The following is a 21,866-nucleotide window of genomic DNA, read 5'->3' as shown; positions in this document are numbered from 1 at the left end:
TGTGCACCAGTGTGGCTGGAGAAAGTCCCTATGCAAAAACAAGGCCCAGGATCAGAGACCCCCAGTAAGGCAGAGAGCTGCAATATGTAACCCTGTAATGCCCCAGGGTTGCAGCCTCAGTGAAACCTGTCAACCAGGAACCTCTTTACCCTCTATCTCTAAGCCCTTGGTCAATATGAAATAGTTTGAAAAGCCCAGACTAACTGACTATGTTCTTAGGGAAGGAGATGTGGTAACAAAAATTCTAGATCCTCAAGCCCTGCTTGTCTGGGGACAAGTGGAGAGCCACAGTGAGGAGGAACAGAGGAAAGGAGACTATACTATAGACAAAAGGCAGAATCAGTCTGGGAGGAGGAAAAAGAGAGAGAGATGTAAAAGTGCTAAACAAATGACATGAAGTTAGAAGGGCCAAGTGAACCAGGCCAGAGCCAAGTAGCAGGTCAAGATGGGGCACAGATTCAAGGTAAAGAGAGGTATCTCCAAGAAAAAGTCACTGAAGGCATACTGACCGAGTTGGCTGTTTTATTCTTGTTCTTGGCACCTCCTTCTTATGTTTAAGCTACGCTTTCAAACTGTCCTACGGCATTTGACAAAGAATGGGGATAAGGTTGCCCTCTGCTGGACACAGTGGCAGCCAAGAAGATGTCAATTTTGTGTCCGAGAATTAAGGCAGTCTTAAGGATTGTTAACTGGTGGCCCCAAGTCATCACCTTCTCCCTCCTCCTGGCTTTCTTTTTTCTTTGGTTGAGTTTTTATAAAAAGCACCTTGCAATTAACCAGATATTTCTCCAGGCAACTCCACCCATGTGACACAGTCAGGGCACAGATAAACACAGCCCCAGCAACTAGCTTATCAGATTGTTAGTCTATGTTCAAATGCCACCCTTTAGTTCAAAGGGCTGGAGAAGGTGTGGTCCCTGGGAGATCACACCTTAAATGGTTAGAAAGGTTATTGTGGGGAATAAATGAGTTAATTCATGTCTAGTATTTGGTATATAGCGAACAATTGATAAATGTCAGCTCCCTGGGCCAGACACTGTACTAGTTGCTGGGTATACAGTCAGTCAGTCCATTGGAGGAAGATAGCTGTGGTACACCTATTGATAATTAGCAGTATGAGTGCTACATAAGTGTCTTACTCCATTTTGCACTGCTCTATCAGATGACCTAAGACTGGGTAATTTATAAAGAACAGAAATGTACTTTCTCACAGTTCTGACGGCTGAGAATTCCAAGATCAAGCCTCCAGCAGGTTCAGTTGTCTGGTGAGGGCTGCTCTCTACTTCCAAGATGGCTCCTTCAGAGGAGAGGAATGCTGTGTCTTCACACAGTGGAAGGCCAAAAGGCAAGAAGAGACTAACTGCCTCTCCTTCAAGCCTGTTTATCCAGTACTTAATCCTTAATCCCATTCACCACGGAGAGGCTCTCATGACCTAACGACCTCTTAAAGAACCCACCTCTTAATACTATCACAAAGCCAGCACCTGAATTTTGGAGGAGACACATTCAAACCACAGCAACAAGGAAATGTTAATGTGCAATGGCTCCCTCAGTTAGATTTTAATAATACTGTGCTCATTAGTTAGCTACTTTCTCTCAGTTGATTCCTACCACTGAGGACAAATTTCTGTTTGATAGTAGATGCCCTGATCAGAACTTTCAAAGTTCTGAGGGGAAGGGAATTTCTGGGGTCTGGCAATTCAGCAAAAGCAAAGAGCTTTGGCATTTTCAAGTTCATGCCTTTGGGTAATTTTTTTAATGTCTGGCTCATTTCTTTGATTCGAAAATCAATTTCCATTTTGACAAACAGTCATGGTCTGCTTCTTAGTCCAGGCTTAAATGCCCAGGGACACATGAATTGTATTTCTTCCCATGATCCTACTTGCCACCCTTCCCTGAATTAAATCCACAATTCTCATTTGTATGCATTCTTCTCCCTACAAGGAGAAGGAATAGAGAGTACCCAGCCATCCTCTAACAGAAATGAACAATCTGTTCCACAGTGCATGATCATTACATGCTCAGGACTATACCAGAACTGGGGTTGGGGCTAAGAGAGTGCAAATCAAACAGAAGACATTATATTCATCCACAAGAAACTTATCAGCTTCTGGGGTAATACCAAACTTACACATATGAAAGATTTAGAGAATCAGATGAGATTGATTTCATTGATTCATTCAAAAACTTACTAGGTATTTACTGTGAATGGTGCCACAGCAAATGCCTAGGGAAAACAATGCCTGGAATGAGACATTTGCTTTCATGGGATTTAGAAAGAAGTATTAGAATAGACATGGACATAAATAATAATAATTTAAGGCTGAAAAGTATAAGCACTAGAATAGCGCAGACGAAGTAAATAATTCTAACTAGGAGCAAGAGTTTCACATGAGAGATGATCCTTGGGTCTTAAAGAACAAAAGGGGTATTGACAGAAAATGCAGGCAAGAGGCATTCCAAGCGGAGGGTACAGTAGCCTTTTGAGGAAGTTCATTGGTATAAAATGCAAGGCTCATCTAGGGATATGAGTAGAACAGAACAATGCAGTTATAATAGAGATGGGGTGAGAGTCTGGCTGGAACATCTTTTCAGAACCCAGAAGGTCTTGCTGGTAAGTTTGGGCTTTCTTAGCCACATTAAACTGAGGTTCATGAACAAGGATATAACACAATTAGATATTTGCTTTAGAAAATAAAGTGGCACCACATTAGAGAGTAGATTAGAGGGAAGGAGTGAATTCATTTAGGAAGAATACAGTCTGAATTAATGAAATAGAAAGGGAAAGATGATGATTGTAGCCCTGGAACTTGAAGACAAGTCAAGAGTGTTGAAAGAAAAGAGAAGAGGTCACCAATGGAATCTTAGGCAAACTTAAATTTAATAGATGGGCCTGTAGCTAAATGTTTGTGAACATAAAAATCTTTTATCTTCACTACCCAACTAAAATCTCTCTCAAAGGACCCTAAAGGCCTTTAAGTTGCCGATTCTGTGTTCCCTTTTTAGTTCTCATTGTATTCAACCTCTCTGTTCAAGAGGTCACTAATGACCATCATTACCCTGGTTTCTTGAAACATTCTGTTTCATTGCCTGTAGTGATGCTACATCTCTTAGTTATTCTTTTACTTTTCTGACTACTCTCGCTCATTTATTTTCATTACCAGGTGGAATAAGATGACAAGGGCAGAGGAGATAGGGTATGCAAAGACAAGGAGAAGCGAAAATAGAACTGATAGCTTTTATGTGCACAGGCTTAGAACTTGCTCCTGAACAACTACTGCCTTTGCCTAGTAGCTCAAATTTATAAATTAAGTAATATAGAGGGAATTTGCCTACTACGGAGAAGGCCGTCCCTATTCTTGGAGACCCACAATCCCAAACAAGTCTGTAGATTCTGCTCAAAATGAGTGGTTGCAACTATAATGTGCATAGCTGGCATTAAGTAAAAATTTTAAATGCAAGAAAATCAGCAAAAACTACTCAATAAAATTTTCAACTGATTATTGCTAATAATTCTTATAATAGGTTTAATGAGATATAGTTCACATACTATACAGTTCATCCATTAAAAATGTACAATTCAATTATTTTTAATATATTCACACAGTTGTGCAACCATTACCACAATCAATTTCAGAACATTTTCATCACCCCAAAAAGAAACCCCGTATCCATTAGCATTCACACCCTATACTCCCTCAACCTCCTCAGTCCCAGGCAACCACTAATCTACTTTCTGTCCCTGTAGATTTGTCTAATCTGGACATTTCATATAATATGTATGGTCTTTTGTGACTAGCTTCTTTCATTTTGCATGTTTTCAAGGTTCATTCATATCACAGCATATATTAATATTTCATTCATTTTTATTGTTAAATAATGTTTCATTATATGGACATACCACATTTTGTTGATCCGTCTATCAGTTGATAGACACTTAGGTTGTTTCTACTTTTGTTTTTTTGTTTTTTTTTTTGAGAAGGAGTTTCACTCTCGTTGCCCAGGCTGGAGTGCAATGGTGCGATCTCGGCTCACCGCAACCTCTGCCTCCCAGGTTCAAGTGATTCTCCTGCCTCAGCCTCCGGAGTAGCTGGGATTACAGGCGCTCCCCACCGCACCTGGCTACTTTTGTATTTTTAGTAGAGACGGAGTTTCTCCATGTTGGTCAGCCTGGTCTCGAACTCCCGACCTCAGGTGATCCACCCACCTTGGCCTCCCAAAGTGCTGGGATTACAGGCGTGAGCCACTGCGCCCAGCTGGTTGTTTCTACTTTTAAGCTATTATGAATTATTGCTACTACGAACATTTCTGTACAAGCTTTTATGTGGACACATGTTTTCATTTCCCCTGGATTGCTGGTTATGGTAACTTTATGTTTGTCTTCTTGAGGAACTACCAGACTGTTTTCCAAAATCATAGCATCATTTTATATTCCTACCAACGTATGCAAATTTTAAAATATTCCATCTTGTTCCAGAAATAACTTAAGACACCTTAAAACAATAGGTGCTTAAATAAATAAAGGTATATGTGATAAGGAAAGATAAAAAACAATTATAAACCAAACAGAAAAATGAAGCAAAGGGGAAATAAGGGAAGAAAGATACCCTGGAATCTAATAGGAATTAGAATACCAAATAAAAGACTTTGTTAGCGGTGTCCACAAATGGGGCTCTGGGCTTTCTGTCAGACAATGTGAAAGATAAAATGTAGTCAGTTATATACATATATATAAAATATAATATATAATACACATATAAATATATAATATATAAAATATATATATATAATATATATTATTTATTTTTATTTTTATTTTTTTTGAGATGGAGTCTCTCTCTGTTGCCCAGGCTGGAGTGCAAGGCGTGATCTTGGCTCACTGCAACCTCCGCCTCCCAGGTTCAAGGGATTCTCCTGCCTCAGCTTCCTGAGTAGCTGAGATTATAGGTGACTGCCACAATGCCCAGCTAATTTTTGTATTTTTAGTAGAGACAGGAATTCTGTTCTATATTTCTTAAAATCCATGATATAAAAACAGACTAGGCCAGGCCCAGTGTCTCACACCTGTCTGTGATCCCAGCACTTTGGGAGGCTGAGCCAGGAATATTGCTTGAGCCCAGGAGTTAGAGACAAGCCTGAGCCACACAGGGAGACCCTGTCTCTACCAAAAATATTGTTTTTAAATCAGGGGGCCGTGGTGGTGCATACCTATGGTCCCAGCCACTTGGGAGGCTGAGGTGGGAGGACTGCTTGAGCCCAGGAGGTTGAGGCTGCAGTGAGCCATGATTGTACCACTGCACTCCAGCCTGGGCCACAGGGTGAGACCTTGTCTTAAAACATTTTTTTAAAGATAAAAATAAAAATAAATAAATAAAACAGACCAGCAATTTGGAGAACTGTGATGTAATGACAGGTAACAAGACTAAAGATATAGCTTTCCAGGGTTTTCATAGAAATGGCTCCATGCAGCCAGGTGCGGTGGCTCACACTTGTAATCCCAGCACTTTGGGAGGCTGAGGTGGGTGGATCACCTGAGGTCAGGAGTTCGAGACCAGCCTGGCCAACATGGTGAAACCCCATCTCTACTAAAAATACAAAATTAGCCAGGTGTGGTGATGGATGCCTGTAATCCCAGCTACTCAGGAGGCTGAGGCAGGAGAACTGCTTGAACCCAGGAAGCAGAGGTTACAGGGAGCCGAGATCATGCCGTTGTACTCCAGGCTGGGCAAAAAGAGGGAAAATCTGTCTCAAAAAGAAAAGAAATGCCTCCATGCTATGTAATGAATATTATCACTCTCTAGTAAATGCAGCTATGGGTTTAATAGGGCTGTTTCTTATGACACTCTTCAATGTAAACCGAAGCCTGTTGGCCAGGCGCGGTGGCTCATGCCTGTAATCCCAGCACTTTGGGAGGCCGAGGTGGGCGGATCACGAGGTCAGGAGATTGAGACCATCCTGGCCAACACGGTGAAACCCCGTCTCCAGTAAAAATACAAAAAAGTCAGCCGGGCATGGTGGCGGGCACCTGTAGTCCCAGCTACTTGGGAGGCTGAGGCAGGAGAATGGCGTGAACCCAGGAGGCAGAGCTTGCAGTGAGCCGAGATCACGCCACTGCACTCCACCTGGGCGACACAGCGAGACTCCATCTCAAAAAATAAAATAAAATAAAAATAAATAAATAATAAATAAATAAATAAACTGATGCCTTACATCATCTAGTAAAAAAAATTCTCCCTGGGTGGCCAACACAAAGAGACAAGAGCCATCTGTCTTAATCCATTGCTAAATCTATCAGCAACTTGGTGAATTTTTATAGGGTCAGGCCCCTTGATTCCTGACACGTTGAATGTCTGGATGCTGGCATTGATTAAGGAAAGAAAAGGTGGATGCCAAGCTACCATGTGCTATTCATTGCAAAGAATGAAAAGAAGATTGCTGAAAATGTTGAGCCCATGAATCAAAAGTAACTCAAAGGAGGGAGCGATTCAATCCCAACAATGTGAGTTGGGGAAGGGCAGGAATAAGACTGGAGCATCACACAAGTGGGAGTTGGCAACAAAAGGACAGCTGACTTGCTCCCTAAATGATGACAATAATTACTCCAGCTAAAATGTCAGGCCATAATACACAGTGGGGCTAGGAGATTAGATAAAGAGGCAGGATAATGACCTAGAGCTGCAATAGTCGTACTGGCATTGTGTCTACCCACATTTTGTACCCTTCCCTTAATGTTTGTTCTTTTGGTAAAGACTAAAATTGACTAAACACTTCTCTGGCTGACTGCCAATTATGTGAACATCAAATTGGAGAAAATGAACTAAGCCAGATTTTCATAACAACTTAACCACACTAAAAAGTCTGGAAAAAAATCTTGTCAGATAATATGTAGGTGCACACATTTTATGCAAGGTAGGATTTTGCAGTTATTGGCTGTCTTGGTTCATGTTCCTGAGGACACAAACCACTACCATGCCTGTCACCTGTCATCTCTCCTGCCCAACTTCTTAGCAAAAAAGCTTCAAAGGACAATGAACCACAAGGCCTAAATTACTGCTCCTGCTGCTTTTTTGGAGAGATGGTTTTTGCAGAGGAAGTGGCCACCCAAGGAAGCCAGGAAGTGCTGCTTCTGTGTGATTTTAGACAAGAAATGAACACTTCACCCTCCACCCCCCACCCCACCCCCAGGATGTCAATCCAGTGCCTTGTTCAAGCACTGAATTTTTGCAAGATAAAATATTTTTCTTCTTTAGGAAAGGGAATGAATAAAGACACTGACGGCCAAATAGAGTCTGGGGAGTCCTTAAAACTCCTCCATTAACAAGATGGAGCAGAACAGCTCCATCTATTACATCAAAGCCTCATCAGAGACCCTAATCCTTTCTGAAAGGAACTCAGGCAACCAAGCCTTTAATTTGCTGAATAATAGGCCATCTAATTAACCCTTGCAAAGTAAAGCACAGACGTTGCAGGCAACCAACACATGTTCCCAAGAGGTTGGGAAAGAAGGGGGAGGGGGAGACAGTTTGGAATACTTTTGACTCCTATTGTTAGGGAACTAACTCTATGCATGGGTTTCTGAATGGTTATCTTTCTGTTTTCCTTTCTAATTTTCTCCATTCTGTTTCCCCAGGGGACCTGCTGTTTCCCCGCCCTGGTATTATGGTGTGTCCTGAGCTTGAAGCCACTGTTAATTCACTGACATGCATAGATAGGTGATACAGAATGACTGTCACAAAATATACTCATAGCAGCAAATCAGTGACATCAAAGGATCTTTTAGGACCACTTACCCACCCATCTCTGCTCTAGACAGGCCACTGTGCTCTGGGGAAAGAAAAACAAAACAGAACAAAAAAAAGGAACCAGAACTGATGACAAGGAGAAAGGGAAGAGAAGAGAAAAGAAGAGAGGGAGTAACACTAGCTCAGGCACTTCTTGGATCTCTTCCAATTCAACAGGCAATGCCTAGCATTAAACAGGGTTGTCTGATTCTTTCTGCGGGATCCTATTACTGGAAGTAGACAACTGTACATACTATGTTGCCAAGGACAGGTAACAGGTTAGATGGATCACGAATTTCATACTAGTATGCATTAATAATAAATCATAGACATATTACCCTTCCTGCTAGTTATATCAGATAATGCGATGAATGATTGAATGTGTGACACAGTGGTCAATTATCATGTGGATGATATAAATTCTATTGTGCTGAGGACATTTATCTCTTTATTGATCTGGCTTTGCTAGCAAGGATCATAAATTACTAGCCTTCCATAACCATATGATGAATACTCTAATAAGAGAATGCCACCAAGTCCTGTTTTCATAATAAATTCCCTTATGATTTCAGTTAGAAAAGTAGCATGCAGAGAATTTGTTTTATTTTATTAAAGACTTTATTTTTACAACAGTTTTAAGTTCACAGCAAAATTGAGAGAAAGGTACAGAGATTTCCCATATACCCCGGCCCCCCTACACGCACAGCCTCTCCACTGTCAACATCCCCCACCTGTACATTTGTTACAATTGAGGAACTCATACTGACACATCGTAATTACCCAGAGTCCATGGTTTACATTAAAGTTCACTCTCAGTGTTGTACATTCTATAGGTTTGGGCAAATTTATAATGACATGTAATCCATTCGTAGAGTATTATACAGAGTATTTTCACTGCCCGAAAAATCCTGTGGGTTCCACCTGTTCTTCCCCTCCCTCCCTGCCCACAACTCCTGACAACTACTGATCTCCATACTGTCTCCATGGTTTTGCCTTTTCCAGAATGTCACGTAATTGGAATCCTACAGTATATAGACTCTTCAGATTGGTTTCTTTCACATGGTAACATGAATTTAAGATTCCTCCATGTCTTTTCATGGCTTGATAGCTGATTTCTTTTTAGCAGTGAATAATGTTCCATTGTCTGGATATACCAGAGTTTACTCATCCATTCACCTACTGAAGGACATCTTGGTGATTTCCAAGTTTTGGCACTTGTAAATAAAACTGTGATAAACATTCATGTGCAGATTTTTATGTGTATATAAGTTTTCAATTCCTTTAGGTAAATATTAAAAAGGGCGATTGCTAGACCCTACGGTAAGCATATGTTTACTTTTGTAAGAAATTAGCAAACTGTCTTCCAAAGTGGCTATACCATTTGCATTCCCACCAAAAATGAAGGAGAGTTCCTTTTGCTCCACATCCTTGGCAGCATTTGGTATTGTCAGTGTTCCAGATTTTGGTCATTCCAATAGGTATGTAGTGGTATCTCATTGTTGAATCTTTTTATTTTATTGTCAAAAGTTATATGCAGTAGGAAGACTATGAGGAAATCCTGTCTATCCCAAACGAGTAAACAATAGTATCCTAGAACCAGCATGCATAAGCTTACTAGACATTACTGTTAACATTTTCAGGAATTCTGTGAGCTGGTTGATATCAGATTGATAGCTTGAAATTGGCTATGGTGGGAATATTTACACCATGAAAACGAGTAAACACTGAAAATCAGCCCCACTCCCACCCCTATCCGCAACCAGCCAGTTTAAACATTTACCAGTACACCACTGCTTATGTACTGGAAATCTTGGGAAAAACTGACTGCCTGATAATTCAAAAGCATGGTCATATAGATAGAAATCTCTTTTTACCAACCTTTTCCTCCAATGCTTTTTTTCCTCATTTCCTGTCTTCTGTTAGATTGATTAAATTTTCTGTAGACCCTTTCTTCTTTTGGTTTAGAAACTAGACATTGTTTTTCTATAGTTTTAACATATTTGCTTAACTACAAATTAGTTTAACATGTTTGCTTAACTGTCAATTTTCCTGTAGTTCTATCCCCTTTCTGAGTACAAAAACCTATGCGTGCCTAGGCCGGGCACGGTGGCTCACACCTGTAATCTCAGCATTTTGGGAGACCAAGGAGGGCGGGTCACCTGAGGTCAGGAGTTCGAGACCAGTCTGGCCAACACGGTGAAACCCCGTCTCTACTAAAAATACAAAAATCAGCCAGGTGTTGTGGCATGCACCTGCAACCCCAGCTACTCAGGAGGCTGAGGCAAGAGGATCGCTTGAACCTGGGAGGCGGAGGTTGCAGTGAGCCGAGATCATGCCACTGCACTCTAGCCTGGGCGACGGAGCGAGACTCCATCTCAAAAACAACAACAAAAAACCAAACAAAGAAAAACAACTTGTGCATGCCTAAATCACACACTGGATGCTGTCCCTGCCCCAACTGTATGATTAGAGTTAGTTTTTACGTATTTTATCCCAAATTGTTTTCCTTCTTACAGTTAGTAGTTATCTACATTAATCCTTCAGACTATTCCATGAATTTAGTTTCATTTCAAACGAATTTATGCTTCATTTGTTGTTTTGGTGGGTTGTCTTCCTCAGCTTTAGGTTTATTCAGGTGTTCTGAAATTTCAGTTGGCAGGCTCACTGAAAGGGTGAGGAGGAAGAGGATTTTGTTTTCTCTCTCCCTCTCACTTCCCCTTTGCCCACCCTCCTATTCTAGTAATGTTATGGTTATGTCTGCTTGGCTCTCTGGGTCTCTAGCCCAGAGCCAGGTTGTAGAATGGCATTTTGTGCTGCTGTCCCATGGTCTTATTGGGCATATGGAAGAGCCTATGACTGTGGCAGCCACAGGCCTGGCTGCTTATATATCCTTCTACCATCCTCAGCCAGAAGGTGGCTAAAAGTCATAGTCCTGGGTGATGGTCAGCATCACCCCAGACGATGGAGAATATGTGGAAGAAATTGCTACAGTTAGAGCACAGGATCACATAACCTCTCCCCTACCCCATTCTTTTTCCCAGACGCTTTTTATCAGCCTAAATGAACCACCTCATTTACTGGCTTCAAGTAGGAGTCTCAACTCTGAATCCTATCTTGTTTGGAGCCCTGTTAGTCTTTTTACTCACAGGAGTCACCACTGCTCTTGATACCTGCGGACCTGTGACTTCAGCCCAGCTGAGCACTTCATGAGCATTCCATTCTCATCCATCACAATGAACATTCTGAATATAACTAACTTCCTTCCTTCCTGCCTTCCTCCCTCCCTGCCTTCCCTTCCTTCCTGCCTTCCTTCTTCCTTCCTCCCTTTTTTCTTTTCTCCCTTCCTTCCTTCTTAATATGTTTTTGGCCTTTTCTTTATATATGTGGCCTAGCAATATCCTGTGTTTGGAAAAGTATAAACCTAAGGCATCACCTTTACAGAAAATATCTTCCACGGAAACATCTAAAGGCAAAAATCCTTCAAATTCAAATTTATCCAATCATTTCTTCTGCTTACTACCATCCTAAATCATTTTTCTTTAGTAAGATCTATTAGTGTGAAGCTATTAAGCTATTAATGTATGTATCATATTAATGTATTAAGACATTAAGGTACGTGGCCAAAATTAACATCTGTGAGACGTGCCCCTAATCTTTTTTCCCCCTGCCAACACCTTGATTTTAACCTAATTTTATTTTACAGTGAGGAAGTAAAGTTGCATTCACAGGCCTTGAACTTTTCCACATCTCGATTTTTACCCATCATCTCTGCATAGTTCCCTAAGGCAGCCTTCAAATGGTGATGTTTCTTATAATCCAGAGTTCAGAAGTGGCTTCTCTTCAATCTTTCTGTGGAATTCTAAACCACGTGATAAAGGAGCTGGTGGTGAGAAATAAGGGAAGGCAGAGATGAAAAGGAATGGGCAGAAGCTTTTGGAGAGGAATAACCACTGAGATTGCCATGAAGGATTCATTCTGACATTCTTTTCATGTATTTAAGGCAATCAAAAAAGAATCCACAGCTAACCACGTAGCTATCAATTTAACAATCCTATCATGTTTCTTCTTACAGTTAAAATTTCGGTTTTTGGGAGGTCGAGGCGGGCAGATCACTTGAGCCCACAAGTTGGAGATCAGCCTGGGCAACATGGCAAAACCCAGTCTCTACTAAACATACAGAAAATTAGCTGGGTGTGCACGTGCCTGTAATCCCAGCTACTTGGGAGGCTGAGGGAAGAGGATTGCTTCACCCTGGGAGGTTGAGATTGCAATGAGCCGAGATCGCGCCACTGCAATCCAGCCTGGGCAACAGAGCAAGACACTATCTCAAAGGAAAAAAAAATGTTCAGTTGTGTTCTGGGATACTGTGTGTATATTGAGAGAGGAAGGTGTATCTGACCACTTTTGCCACCCCTTATTCTCTTCCTTATCATTATGTTTGTCGTTTGGAGAGACTGTCCAAAGATCATGAGTTCTAACATCCAACTTCTATCTAGGTCCATTATATGAGGTGCATAATTTTTTTCTTTCTTTCTTTTTTTTTTTTTTTTGAGACAGGGTCTCATTCCATCGCTCAGGCTGGAGTGCAGTGGTGCAATCTCAGCTCACTGCAACATCCACCTCCCAGATTCCAGTGATCTCCTGCCTCAGCCTCCCAAGTAGCTGGGATTACAGGTGCCCACTACCATGCCCGGCTAATTTTTGCATTTTTAGTAAAGACAGGGTTTCACCATGTTGGCCAGGCTGGTCTCAAACTCCTGACCTCAAGTGATCCACCCACCTCGGCCTCCCAAAGTGCTGAGATTATAGGCATGAGCCACCACACCCGGCCATGAGGTGCATAATTTTAAGAGTATCACTTCCTCTAAAGAATTCGTGGTTCTTCAAAAGGAATGGATATTTACTGAGTTCCTGCCATGTTCTAGGAACTGTGCTAGGTATTGGGGATATGAAGCAGTAAAGATACATTCTCTGCTCTCAAGGAATTTACAGTTTGAGTGGGGAGACAGACGTAGAAACAAATAATTCCAGGATGGCTTGACATGCTCCCTCTCTCCCCATTATTATAAAGTTCTGTAAAAGGCACAACGCTGACATAAAAGCATGAAGGAAGGGGCCTCTGAGTCCTCCTGGGGAAGTCAGGGGAAGCATCACTTGTTCAATTTTTCTAGAATGTGCAGGGAGTTTGGAGGAGAGAATGGTATTACATAGAAAGGGGCAGATCCTTCATGACCTTGTGTGTTACAGAGTTTTAGTGCACCCTGTAAGCACTGGGAAGACACAGAATAATTATGAGTAGGGCATGACTTGATCAGTTTAGGGATTCAGAAAGATCACACTGACTGTTTTGTGCAGGATAATTTGTGATGAGATCCAGGGAGAGTATTATGAAAGCTGCTGCTCTAGTTGGAGCAGAGATCTGAATCATCACCCAGAAACACTTGGCCCCTATAAGATGGAATGTTCTGGGTAGCCAGAAAAAGCCAGATAACAAAACTACTACCCCAAATTAGAAGTGGATTAGGGAAAGCACATATACTAAGCTATAGCCAGCTCTCCTACATCTAGAGCCTGTGGGCGCTTTGGCCTCATGCATCAGGAGGGCAGAAGACCATGTCCAAACACTCCATATCCAGGGAGAGGGAGAGCACCTGATATTTTAGCAGTGTGGTCATCCATGTCACCATGTGGAGAATGACATGGGGAAATGGAGGAGGTGTCTGAGTAGCCAGACTTGGGTTTTCTTCATATATCCAGGTGAAAAAGGTACATAGGATGTTGATATTCTGCCTCAAAATATACACAGTATGGGCTGGGCATGGTGGCTGTCACCTGTAATCCCAGCGCTTTGGGAGGCCGAGGTAGGAGGATCACCTGAGGTCAGCAGTTCGAGACCAGCCTGGCCAACATGATGAAATCTCATCTCTACTAAAAATACAAAAAATAGCCAGGCATAGTAGCAGACACCTGTAATCCCAGCTACTCTGGAGGCTGAGGCAGGAGAATTGCTTGAACCCGCGAGGCAGAGGTTGCAGTGAGCCGAGATTGTGCCACTGTACTCCAGCCTGGGTGGCAGAGCGAGACTCCATCTCAAAACAACAACAACAACAACAACAACACCACAATATTATGTAGCCATAAAGAGGAACGAAATACTGATACATGGTACTGATACACGGATGAACTTTAAAAACATTATATTTTGCTTTAATTTTTTCACAGAAATAATGTCTTGCTATGTTGCCCAGGCTGGTCTCAAACTCAGGCTCAAATGATCCACCCATCTTGGCCTCCCAAAGTGTTACGTGTGAACCACTGCACCTGGCCAAAAATATTTTACTAAGAAAAAGGAGTCACCTATTGTATGATTCCATTTATATGAAATATCCAAAATAGGTAAATCTAGCAGATTGCTGTTTGTCAGGGGCTGGAGGGGAGAAGGAAATGAGGAGTAGCTGTTTAATAGATGTGGGGTTTGTTTGTGGCATGATGAAAACATTCTGGAAGTAGATCAAAGTGGTGGTTGCACACACTGAATGTACTAAATACCACTGAATTGTTCACTTTTAGACGGTTAATATTTTATGTGAATTTTACCTCAAACACACATATTCACGCATGCACACTCTAGCATCATGAGCGTCAGAGCAGACATTGAAATATGTCACAGACCTGGTGTTAAATGATAGCTCTGCCAGCTGTGAGGCCTAAAGTCCATCACTTGATTTATTTTCTTTTTATTTTTTTTCGAGACAGTCTCACTCCATCACCCAGGCAGGAATGCAGTGGTGGATCTTGGCTCACTGGAACCTCAACCTCCCGGGTTCAAGCGATTCTCATGCCTCAGCCTCCCAAGTAGCTAGAATTGCAGGCACATGCCACCACACCTGGCTAAGTTTTGTATTTTCAGCAGAGATGGGGTTTCACTGTGTTGGCCAGGCTGGTCTTGAACTCCTGACCTCAAGTGATCTGTCTGCCTCAGCCTACCAAAGTGCTGGGATTACAGATGTGATCCACACCTGGCCCCCCATCACTTGATTTATAAGAAACTCAGCTTCCCATCTGAGTAGTGACCTACTTCATATGGCAGCAGTGAGGATTCACTGAAATTATGCAAGTAAAGTACACTTCACCATGTCAGATGCACAACATCTGACAGTAAGCTTTAAATAAATCTTACTGTTAATATTATTATCTGTACTCCTCACACAGACAACTCCAAATTTATTCTACTACTTTTATTTTAGCTCTCAGGTATTTTTAGGCTACAGCTGATTTAGTTGAACATATGCCAATTTGCTTTCATTGGCTAAATGAATTTTGCCATGAATAAAGATTTTCACATAACAAAGAACTTGGTCATAATTAAAAAGAAATGTAAACTGCAGGTCCACAAAAGTATGAGCTACAATTGATCCAGTTCAGACCCATAGTAAATGTCACTAAGCGATCATGATGCTCTATCCTAGATGCAGTGTCAGAATCCTCCTTAACACAGCATTGCAGGGAGGTGATCAGTTGATCAGTGCTGGGATGCAAGATGACACTAATTGGCCATCTCATTCTATAATTTGTTCCTCATGGAGAGATACTTGTTACCAAGAAATCTTAATGTACAGTATATATTTAGTTCCTGAAGTCCTCTATAAAGGCCAGCAAATCATTGATGATTACAGAAATTCCCCACTTTTACTACTGTGCAGTTGGTTGAGGAGGAGGAATTTAACATAAACCCTTATGACACATATTTAAACAAAAAATAAAATGAAAGAGAGAAAAAGGAAGGTAGGGAGGGAAGAAAATACAGTATGGTTTTATGGTTTCATATTAATACTTGACATTGTAGTGATTGTTTTATGGTGTCATATTAATACTTGACATTGTAGTGATTGTTTTATGGTGTCATATTAATACTTGACATTGTAGTGATGCTTTACAATAGGGGTGTCCAATCTTCTGCCTTCCCTGGACCAACTGGAAGAATTGTCTTCGACCACACATAAAATACACTAACAATAGCTGATGAGCTTTAAAAAAAAATCACAAAACAAAATCTCATAGTGTTTTAAGAAAGTTTACAAATTTGTGTTGGACCACATTCAAAGCTGTCCTGGGTGGCATGAGAACCATGGGCTGAGGATTGGACAAGCTTGCTCTACAATATTCACAGGTACACTTGATCCTCACTGGTAGATGGGTGAATATTACTATCCCACAGCTTAGGAAACAAAGTCTTGGAATATCAAATGCCTTAAGGTCCTGTAACTACCCAGTCATGGAGTGTATTAATTTCCTAGGGCTGCTATAATAAAGTATCACAAACCAAGTGACTTAAACAACAGACATTTGTTGTCTCCAGTCTGAGGGACAGACTTCCAAGATCAAGATGTCGGCAGGGCTATTCTCCCTCTGGAAGTACTAGGGAAGGATCTGTTCCAGGTCCCTCTCCTAGCTGCTGGTAGTTCTTGGCCTAAGACAGCATAACTCCAGTCTTCACATGATCTTATCTGTTTGTCTGTGTACACATTGCCCCATTTTAAAATACACCAGTCATACTAGATTGGGGCCCATCCTACTCCAGTATGACCTCATCTTAACTAATTACATCTGTAATGGCCCCATTTGAGATATTGAGGATGAGAACATCAACATATGAATTTTGAGGGGACACAATTCGACCCATGACATGGGGGATTGAAGCCAGGGTTTCTGTATGTGTGTGTGAAGCACTGCTTGAGCCTGAAGGTTCAAGCTTTGGGCCTCTTTTAAAGGCAAAAATTCTCATTATTCACTAAAATGTGGGCTTTTAAATAAAACTATTATTTCAAAAAATCATTAAATAGCCCTTCATACTAAAAATAAATTATGAAATTTCCCCCTCCATTCACTAACCTGGTATGACAGCTAAATATTATGCATTTGATGACCCTAGAAAGTTCCGAATTAAAATACTAAGAAGGCAGTGGAAGCCGCACATATGCCCAAAAGCACATAAGACCAACAGAATCTATGATGACTTATTATATCTAAATTTTCTGTTATAAATTTTTAATTCATTAAAACACACCCACACATATACCCCTTTCTTCATTAGTGCCAAAGGGCTATGTCTGTTATTTTTATCCCTGCCAGAAATCATCACTGGGCTGAAAGAATGTAGTACTGGTGACATGAGCCTGCATTTCCATTTTTAATTAAAATTCTAACTGACCCAGAGCCAGATTTCCTTCTGCACCAGAGCCTGTGGAAGCGCCACAGTGGAAGCAGCAGAGACTGGAAGAGCAGGCAAGAAGCTGGGAGCTTTGCACTGAACCAGGAAGTCACCACAGCTCTTAGGCAAAGACCCGGAAAGGTGTCAACATGGCCACACTACTGCTCCCACCTTGTCCTTACTTTCCTCATCTCATCCCACAGGCCACAGATCAGCCCTGGGGTTCAGAGGGATCCTGACAGCTACTCCTCAAGATCCTCTCTGTTGTGATTCATCCCCCCGGGGCCCTACAGTTTCTCCTTCCTGACTCTTACATTTCTTTGGATGGCATCATTATTGTGAGTTATAGTATTCATCACTGTCATTTGATACTACTTATTTGATAATACTATTCTTATCACTAGTATTTGCTGAGCTTTCATTCTGTATCTCACTTAATTCTCTCAGTCACACTATAAAGTAGCATGATGCAGACTGCTTCCTGTCCAGACACTCTCCCCTTTACTTAGGGATAGAGCCCCAGTAGTCCACTGCTGCCCAGTCAGAGGACTGTATTTCTTAGCTTCCTTTGCAGCTAGGTGTGGCCATGTGATAAAGTTGTAGCTAATGATACGTTGTGTGAAACTGCCAGAAAGCCTTCCCGCCCCGCCCCGCCCCCCACCCCCCCAACCGAGACGGGGTCTTTCTCTGCCACCCAGGCTGGAGTGCAGTGATGTGATCTCGGCTCACTGCAACCCCTGCCTCCTGGATTCAAGCAATTCTCCTGCCTCACCCTCCCAAGTAGCTGGGATTACAGGTACCCACCACCACACCAGGCTAATTTTTGTATTCTTAGTAGAGACGGGGTTTCACCATGTTGGCCAGGCTGGTCTTGAACCCTGGACCTTGTGATCCACCCGCCTCGGCCTCCAAAAGTGCTAGGATTACAGGCATGAGCCACCGTGCCTGGCCCAGAGAGTCTTAAAGTAAGGAGACTTGCATTTTTTTCTCTTTCTCTCTAACTAAAATAAGTATGTGAATGTCAGAGCTCCAGCAGTCATCTTGGCCCATGAGGTTCCACGGAATGGAAATCGTATTTAGTGGGGCAGCCTGAGGGCAGGAGCCCAGGTGGCTGCCATGTGGCCCTGCCACACCAGCAGTACATATGTGGCTTAACTCCCAGCTGATTTCAAGTGAGAGAAAAATAAAAGCCTAACTCTTTAAAGCCACTGTTTTTGGGGTTTTCTATTACATACAGACTTGATCTTAATCCCAACTAGTTATTATTATAGAAGCATTGTTATTCTCATTTTGCAGATGAGGAAATTGAGGCTCAGAAAAGTTAAGTGACTTGTTCAAGGCCAAAAATCTAATTAGCAGTGCTAGAATACAATTTGACTTTAGACCCTACGCTCTTAATCTCTCCAATATATATTTTCCAAAAAGCCCTGTTTCCATGCTGAAAACACTGGAGTCATGTTTAACTCTTCTCTCTCTGTAGTACCTGTCTCCTCCCATAGTTAGGTGCCAAGCACTGTGGATTCTGCCTCTCAGTGTCCAGACACCCATTTTCCTTCCCACTGTTCCTTCCCCATGGAGAAGCCTGTGGCTGGCTGACAGCAGAGAGAGATGCTCAACTTGGAGAAGGTGTTACCTGGGCCAGGTGGGGAAGGTTTGTTTGCAGAGCAAAGAAGTGAAGGTGAGCCTGAGTCGATTTTTTTTTTTTTAACAAGGTCTCTCTTCATCATTCAGGCTAGAGTGCAATGGCACAATTAGCTCACTATAACCTCAAACTCCTGTGCTCAGGGGATCCTCCTGCTTCAGCCTCCTTGGTAGCTGGGACTATATAGGCACACACCACCATGCCTGGCTAATTTTTAAATTTTTTGTAGAGACAGGCTCACTTTGTTGCCCAGGCTCAAACTCCTGGTCTCAAGTGATCCTCCCACCTCAGCCCCTCAAAGTGCTAGGATTACAGTCGTAAGCCTACCACATCTGGCTTGACTCTGCCTTGACTCCTGTTGCAGCCAATTCTTTCAGGTGGAGGGAGCTGTTGCCATTGAGAAGGGGTGGAGAGGGGTGTGTGTGTGTGTGTGTGTGTGTGTGTGTGTGTGTGTGTGTGTGTGTTAGAGGCCCGAACTGTGGAAGTAAGTGAGCTGAAGTCTAAATAAAGAGACAGTGGACAACAGATTGAAACAGCACATTGGTGTCAAAGAAGAGAAAGTCATTGCCACTTTCAAAACACAGTTTCAGAATAGCAGCACAGACCAAATGCAAAGGGTAATAAAAATAACCTCTACTGCTGGTTGAGCGTGAACTCTGGAACAAGTTTTCTGGGGTTCAAATCCCAGCTCCACCATGTACTAGCTGTGGTCTTGGGACTCTTGGCCTCTTTTTACCTCAATTTCTATAAAATTAGAACTACTTTATAGAATCATGAGGATTAAGTAAATTATACAACATGTAGAGAACAGTGCCTAGCATAAGAGTTATATATGTTAATTATTATTATTATTTGTCAAGTGCTACATATACATTATGTAATTTAATCCTCACAGCGATACTACTCTAGCCCCAATTTGACAACTGAGGACTGGCGGTCAGACAGGTTAAATATCTTTCCAAGATTACACAGCCAGTAAGTGACACAGCTGGATACACACACTATAGCACAGCTCTTCCACAGCTGCCTCTTCCTGGTGATGATCCAGGCGGCACTCTGGGGAGAGGCGAATGTGTGAGCCACCACCTCCAGGCACAAGCACACACAGACAATGCAGCACTCACCCTCACTTTCTATTATTTCAATTACAGAGTCTTTTTGATTCACAGTATGAAAATCAAGTGTAATTTTTTTTAAAAGAAGAAAGAAAAGCCAGTATGGAGAAAATGGTACAGACATAACTTAATGAATCCACAGCAGCTACAAAAGTCAGCTAATATAATGCGCCACAAGCACTAACATAAAATCTATGACATATGCCACAGATCTGGTTTCTCACAAGATTTAAACCCAGCATCTGTCAGGAAATAAACAGGATATGCTGACAACAGTCTAGATTACCCACGTTACTATGCCTTTTTCTTATTTCATATGACGCTAAACCTTCATTTCTCTCACATTACCATGGTTCCTGAGAAGACAGGATATATTCCTAGTATATTCCAGGTATATGTGGGTACCATGTTTTAAACTTCAAGTCACACTCAGCTGCTTCCTGGTTTACACTATGAGAAAATCAGATTTTATCAGGTGACTTTATAAGTAGGGTATAAGTGAGATCAAATCAGGCCCTTGGTGTGTTTAGATGATCTATTAGGTAATCTAAATTAGACGCTCTTCAGGGAGATATAACCTTGAAGTTCACACATAGCTTTATTTGTTCTTCTCATGAAAACAAAATCCCAATATTTCAAAATAAGAAAGGATTTGAGTTGCATTTATAAGTATATTGATCAATGTATGTTAAGTGAGGAGTGGATAATTTGGGGGGGGTTAACTTATTTTTTGTGTTAATTTTGAGCTTCTCCATGAGTTTTTATTAATTCACTAATTCCCTGTAGCTCAAGAGATGCTAATTAATTCAAGAAATCATAATAGCTAATCACTGCCTAAATAAATCTAAAATGGAGAGAGTCTGTCACTAGAGATACCACTGCTCATTTTAATTAAAATTATGAATTTGTGAAGTAATGTAAATAAAGGTTATTGTATCCTTCTACTCTAGGAAGTATTAACCCTTTGCATGGCCTCCTGAGAATCCGACAAGACGTAAATAGCCAAGAATATCTGTGAAACTTCATCACTGAGTTACAATATTTATCACTGCAAGTGTGTTGTTCATTGACACTATAAAGCCATGTGGAATTAAGCAGCCTTGAAACACAAAATGGAGAAAGGCTAAGAGCTGAGAATTGTTGCCTTCAGGGAAATACAATCAATGTCAAGCAAACAACCACCCCAAAATGGTTAGCTTTATCAGCATTCAGGCCTACAGTGAACGCAAATGTTCCAGATCTGAGTTTCAATTTTTAAAGAATAAACATATGCAAATGACCATTAGTCTTAGTAGTTTTAGGGCTCAGAATGATCTTATCTTGTTAACATTCAGGGCAACTGCTTATACCCATTTGAATGTCATTTAGAGGGCTAGGAAAGACTGCTTCAACATTTGATGACTAAATGGCAGGGCTCAGCCACAATGCTCACTCCGAGAAATGAGAAATAGACACACCAGTATGCTAGATGCTGATGCAGTTCAGGAAATGCTACCCCAAAATATGGCCCCTCAGCATACTGAGTATTTTAAGCAGAAGGCAATTAAGAAAACCACAAAAACAGAAAGGTCCCTCTGACCTTCTCCCACCCTCTCTCTCTTGAAGATCCTCATGTGACAGGTGACCTGCCATATAATCAGAAGGAAGAAATGTTACACAGAGAGGCTGAGAAGAATCTGAGGACTTGCTAAGTTTTCCCCAGTTTATTACCATTAGATCATATGCCTTTTTTGTTCAATCATACTTCTATACAACTGTCCATCATTCATTAAACCTAACCACAAAAGTAGTTTTCACTCGGTTTTTGAGTGAAGGCTCCTGTGTCACATAAAACTTACATTAAATAAATTTGTTCCACTTTTCTTTTGTTAATCTGTCTTTTGTTATAGGAATGTCAGCCATTAACCTCACAGTAGGTGATGAAAAGATATTACTTTTTCTCCCCTATACTACCCAAGCCAGCCACCTCAAGAAAGAACAGTTCATGTGCAGGTGACCATGTAGTTCAAGTCATCATTAAATCCAAAGCTGAGCAGCCGTGATGCTATTGGTGGAATTGCCCTTGACCAAGAGAAATCCATCTTGATTGTCTCAATAATCGGCTCAAGGACCACTGA

At 41.5% G+C, this 21,866-nt stretch overlaps 1 protein-coding gene and 1 long non-coding RNA gene across 12 annotated transcripts in view, besides 2 other annotated features; one reads left to right on the top strand and one right to left on the bottom strand.

Moving 5' to 3' along the window:
• The window catches only part of MYO3B (myosin IIIB), a 477,021-nt gene that overhangs the window by 293,039 nt on the left and 162,116 nt on the right, over window positions 1-21,866 (bottom strand). The window contains exon 1 of one of the 11 annotated variants that reach the window (XM_011510657.4): window positions 10,928-10,992. The exons of 8 other annotated variants lie outside the window; for them this stretch is intronic. Coding sequence is in view for 1 of the 3 variants with exons in the window: in XM_011510656.4 (XP_011508958.1) it covers window positions 10,851-10,855 (5 nt within the window). In the remaining 2 variants the exon portion in view is untranslated. Of the gene's footprint in view, window positions 1-9,659; window positions 9,918-10,850; window positions 10,993-21,866 lie in introns of those variants that run through there. 2 more of the 11 variants (XM_011510656.4, XM_024452713.2) reach the window with 2 other exon arrangements.
• Window positions 7,187-8,040: an enhancer, noted in NCBI's record as "NANOG-H3K4me1 hESC enhancer chr2:171210599-171211452 (GRCh37/hg19 assembly coordinates)". NCBI's record gives its function as "activates a minimal SCP1, AML or CMV promoter by ChIP-STARR-seq in naive H9 embryonic stem cells {active_cell/tissue: H9 hESC(naive)}" and the evidence as "EXISTENCE:reporter gene assay evidence [ECO:0000049][PMID:30033119]".
• Window positions 11,186-21,612, top strand: MYO3B-AS1 (MYO3B antisense RNA 1). The gene is made up of 4 exons (NR_110576.1): window positions 11,186-11,250; window positions 17,196-17,330; window positions 18,473-18,670; window positions 20,700-21,612. It is a non-coding gene; the product is annotated as an MYO3B antisense RNA 1 (long non-coding RNA).
• Window positions 21,278-21,842: an enhancer, noted in NCBI's record as "OCT4-NANOG hESC enhancer chr2:171196797-171197361 (GRCh37/hg19 assembly coordinates)". NCBI's record gives its function as "activates a minimal SCP1, AML or CMV promoter by ChIP-STARR-seq in primed H9 embryonic stem cells {active_cell/tissue: H9 hESC(primed)}" and the evidence as "EXISTENCE:reporter gene assay evidence [ECO:0000049][PMID:30033119]".

This window comes from Homo sapiens, chromosome 2 (assembly GCF_000001405.40).
Source record: "Homo sapiens chromosome 2, GRCh38.p14 Primary Assembly".
Taxonomy (NCBI): Eukaryota; Metazoa; Chordata; class Mammalia; order Primates; family Hominidae; genus Homo; species Homo sapiens.
This window is presented reverse-complemented; position numbering and strand designations above follow the sequence as displayed.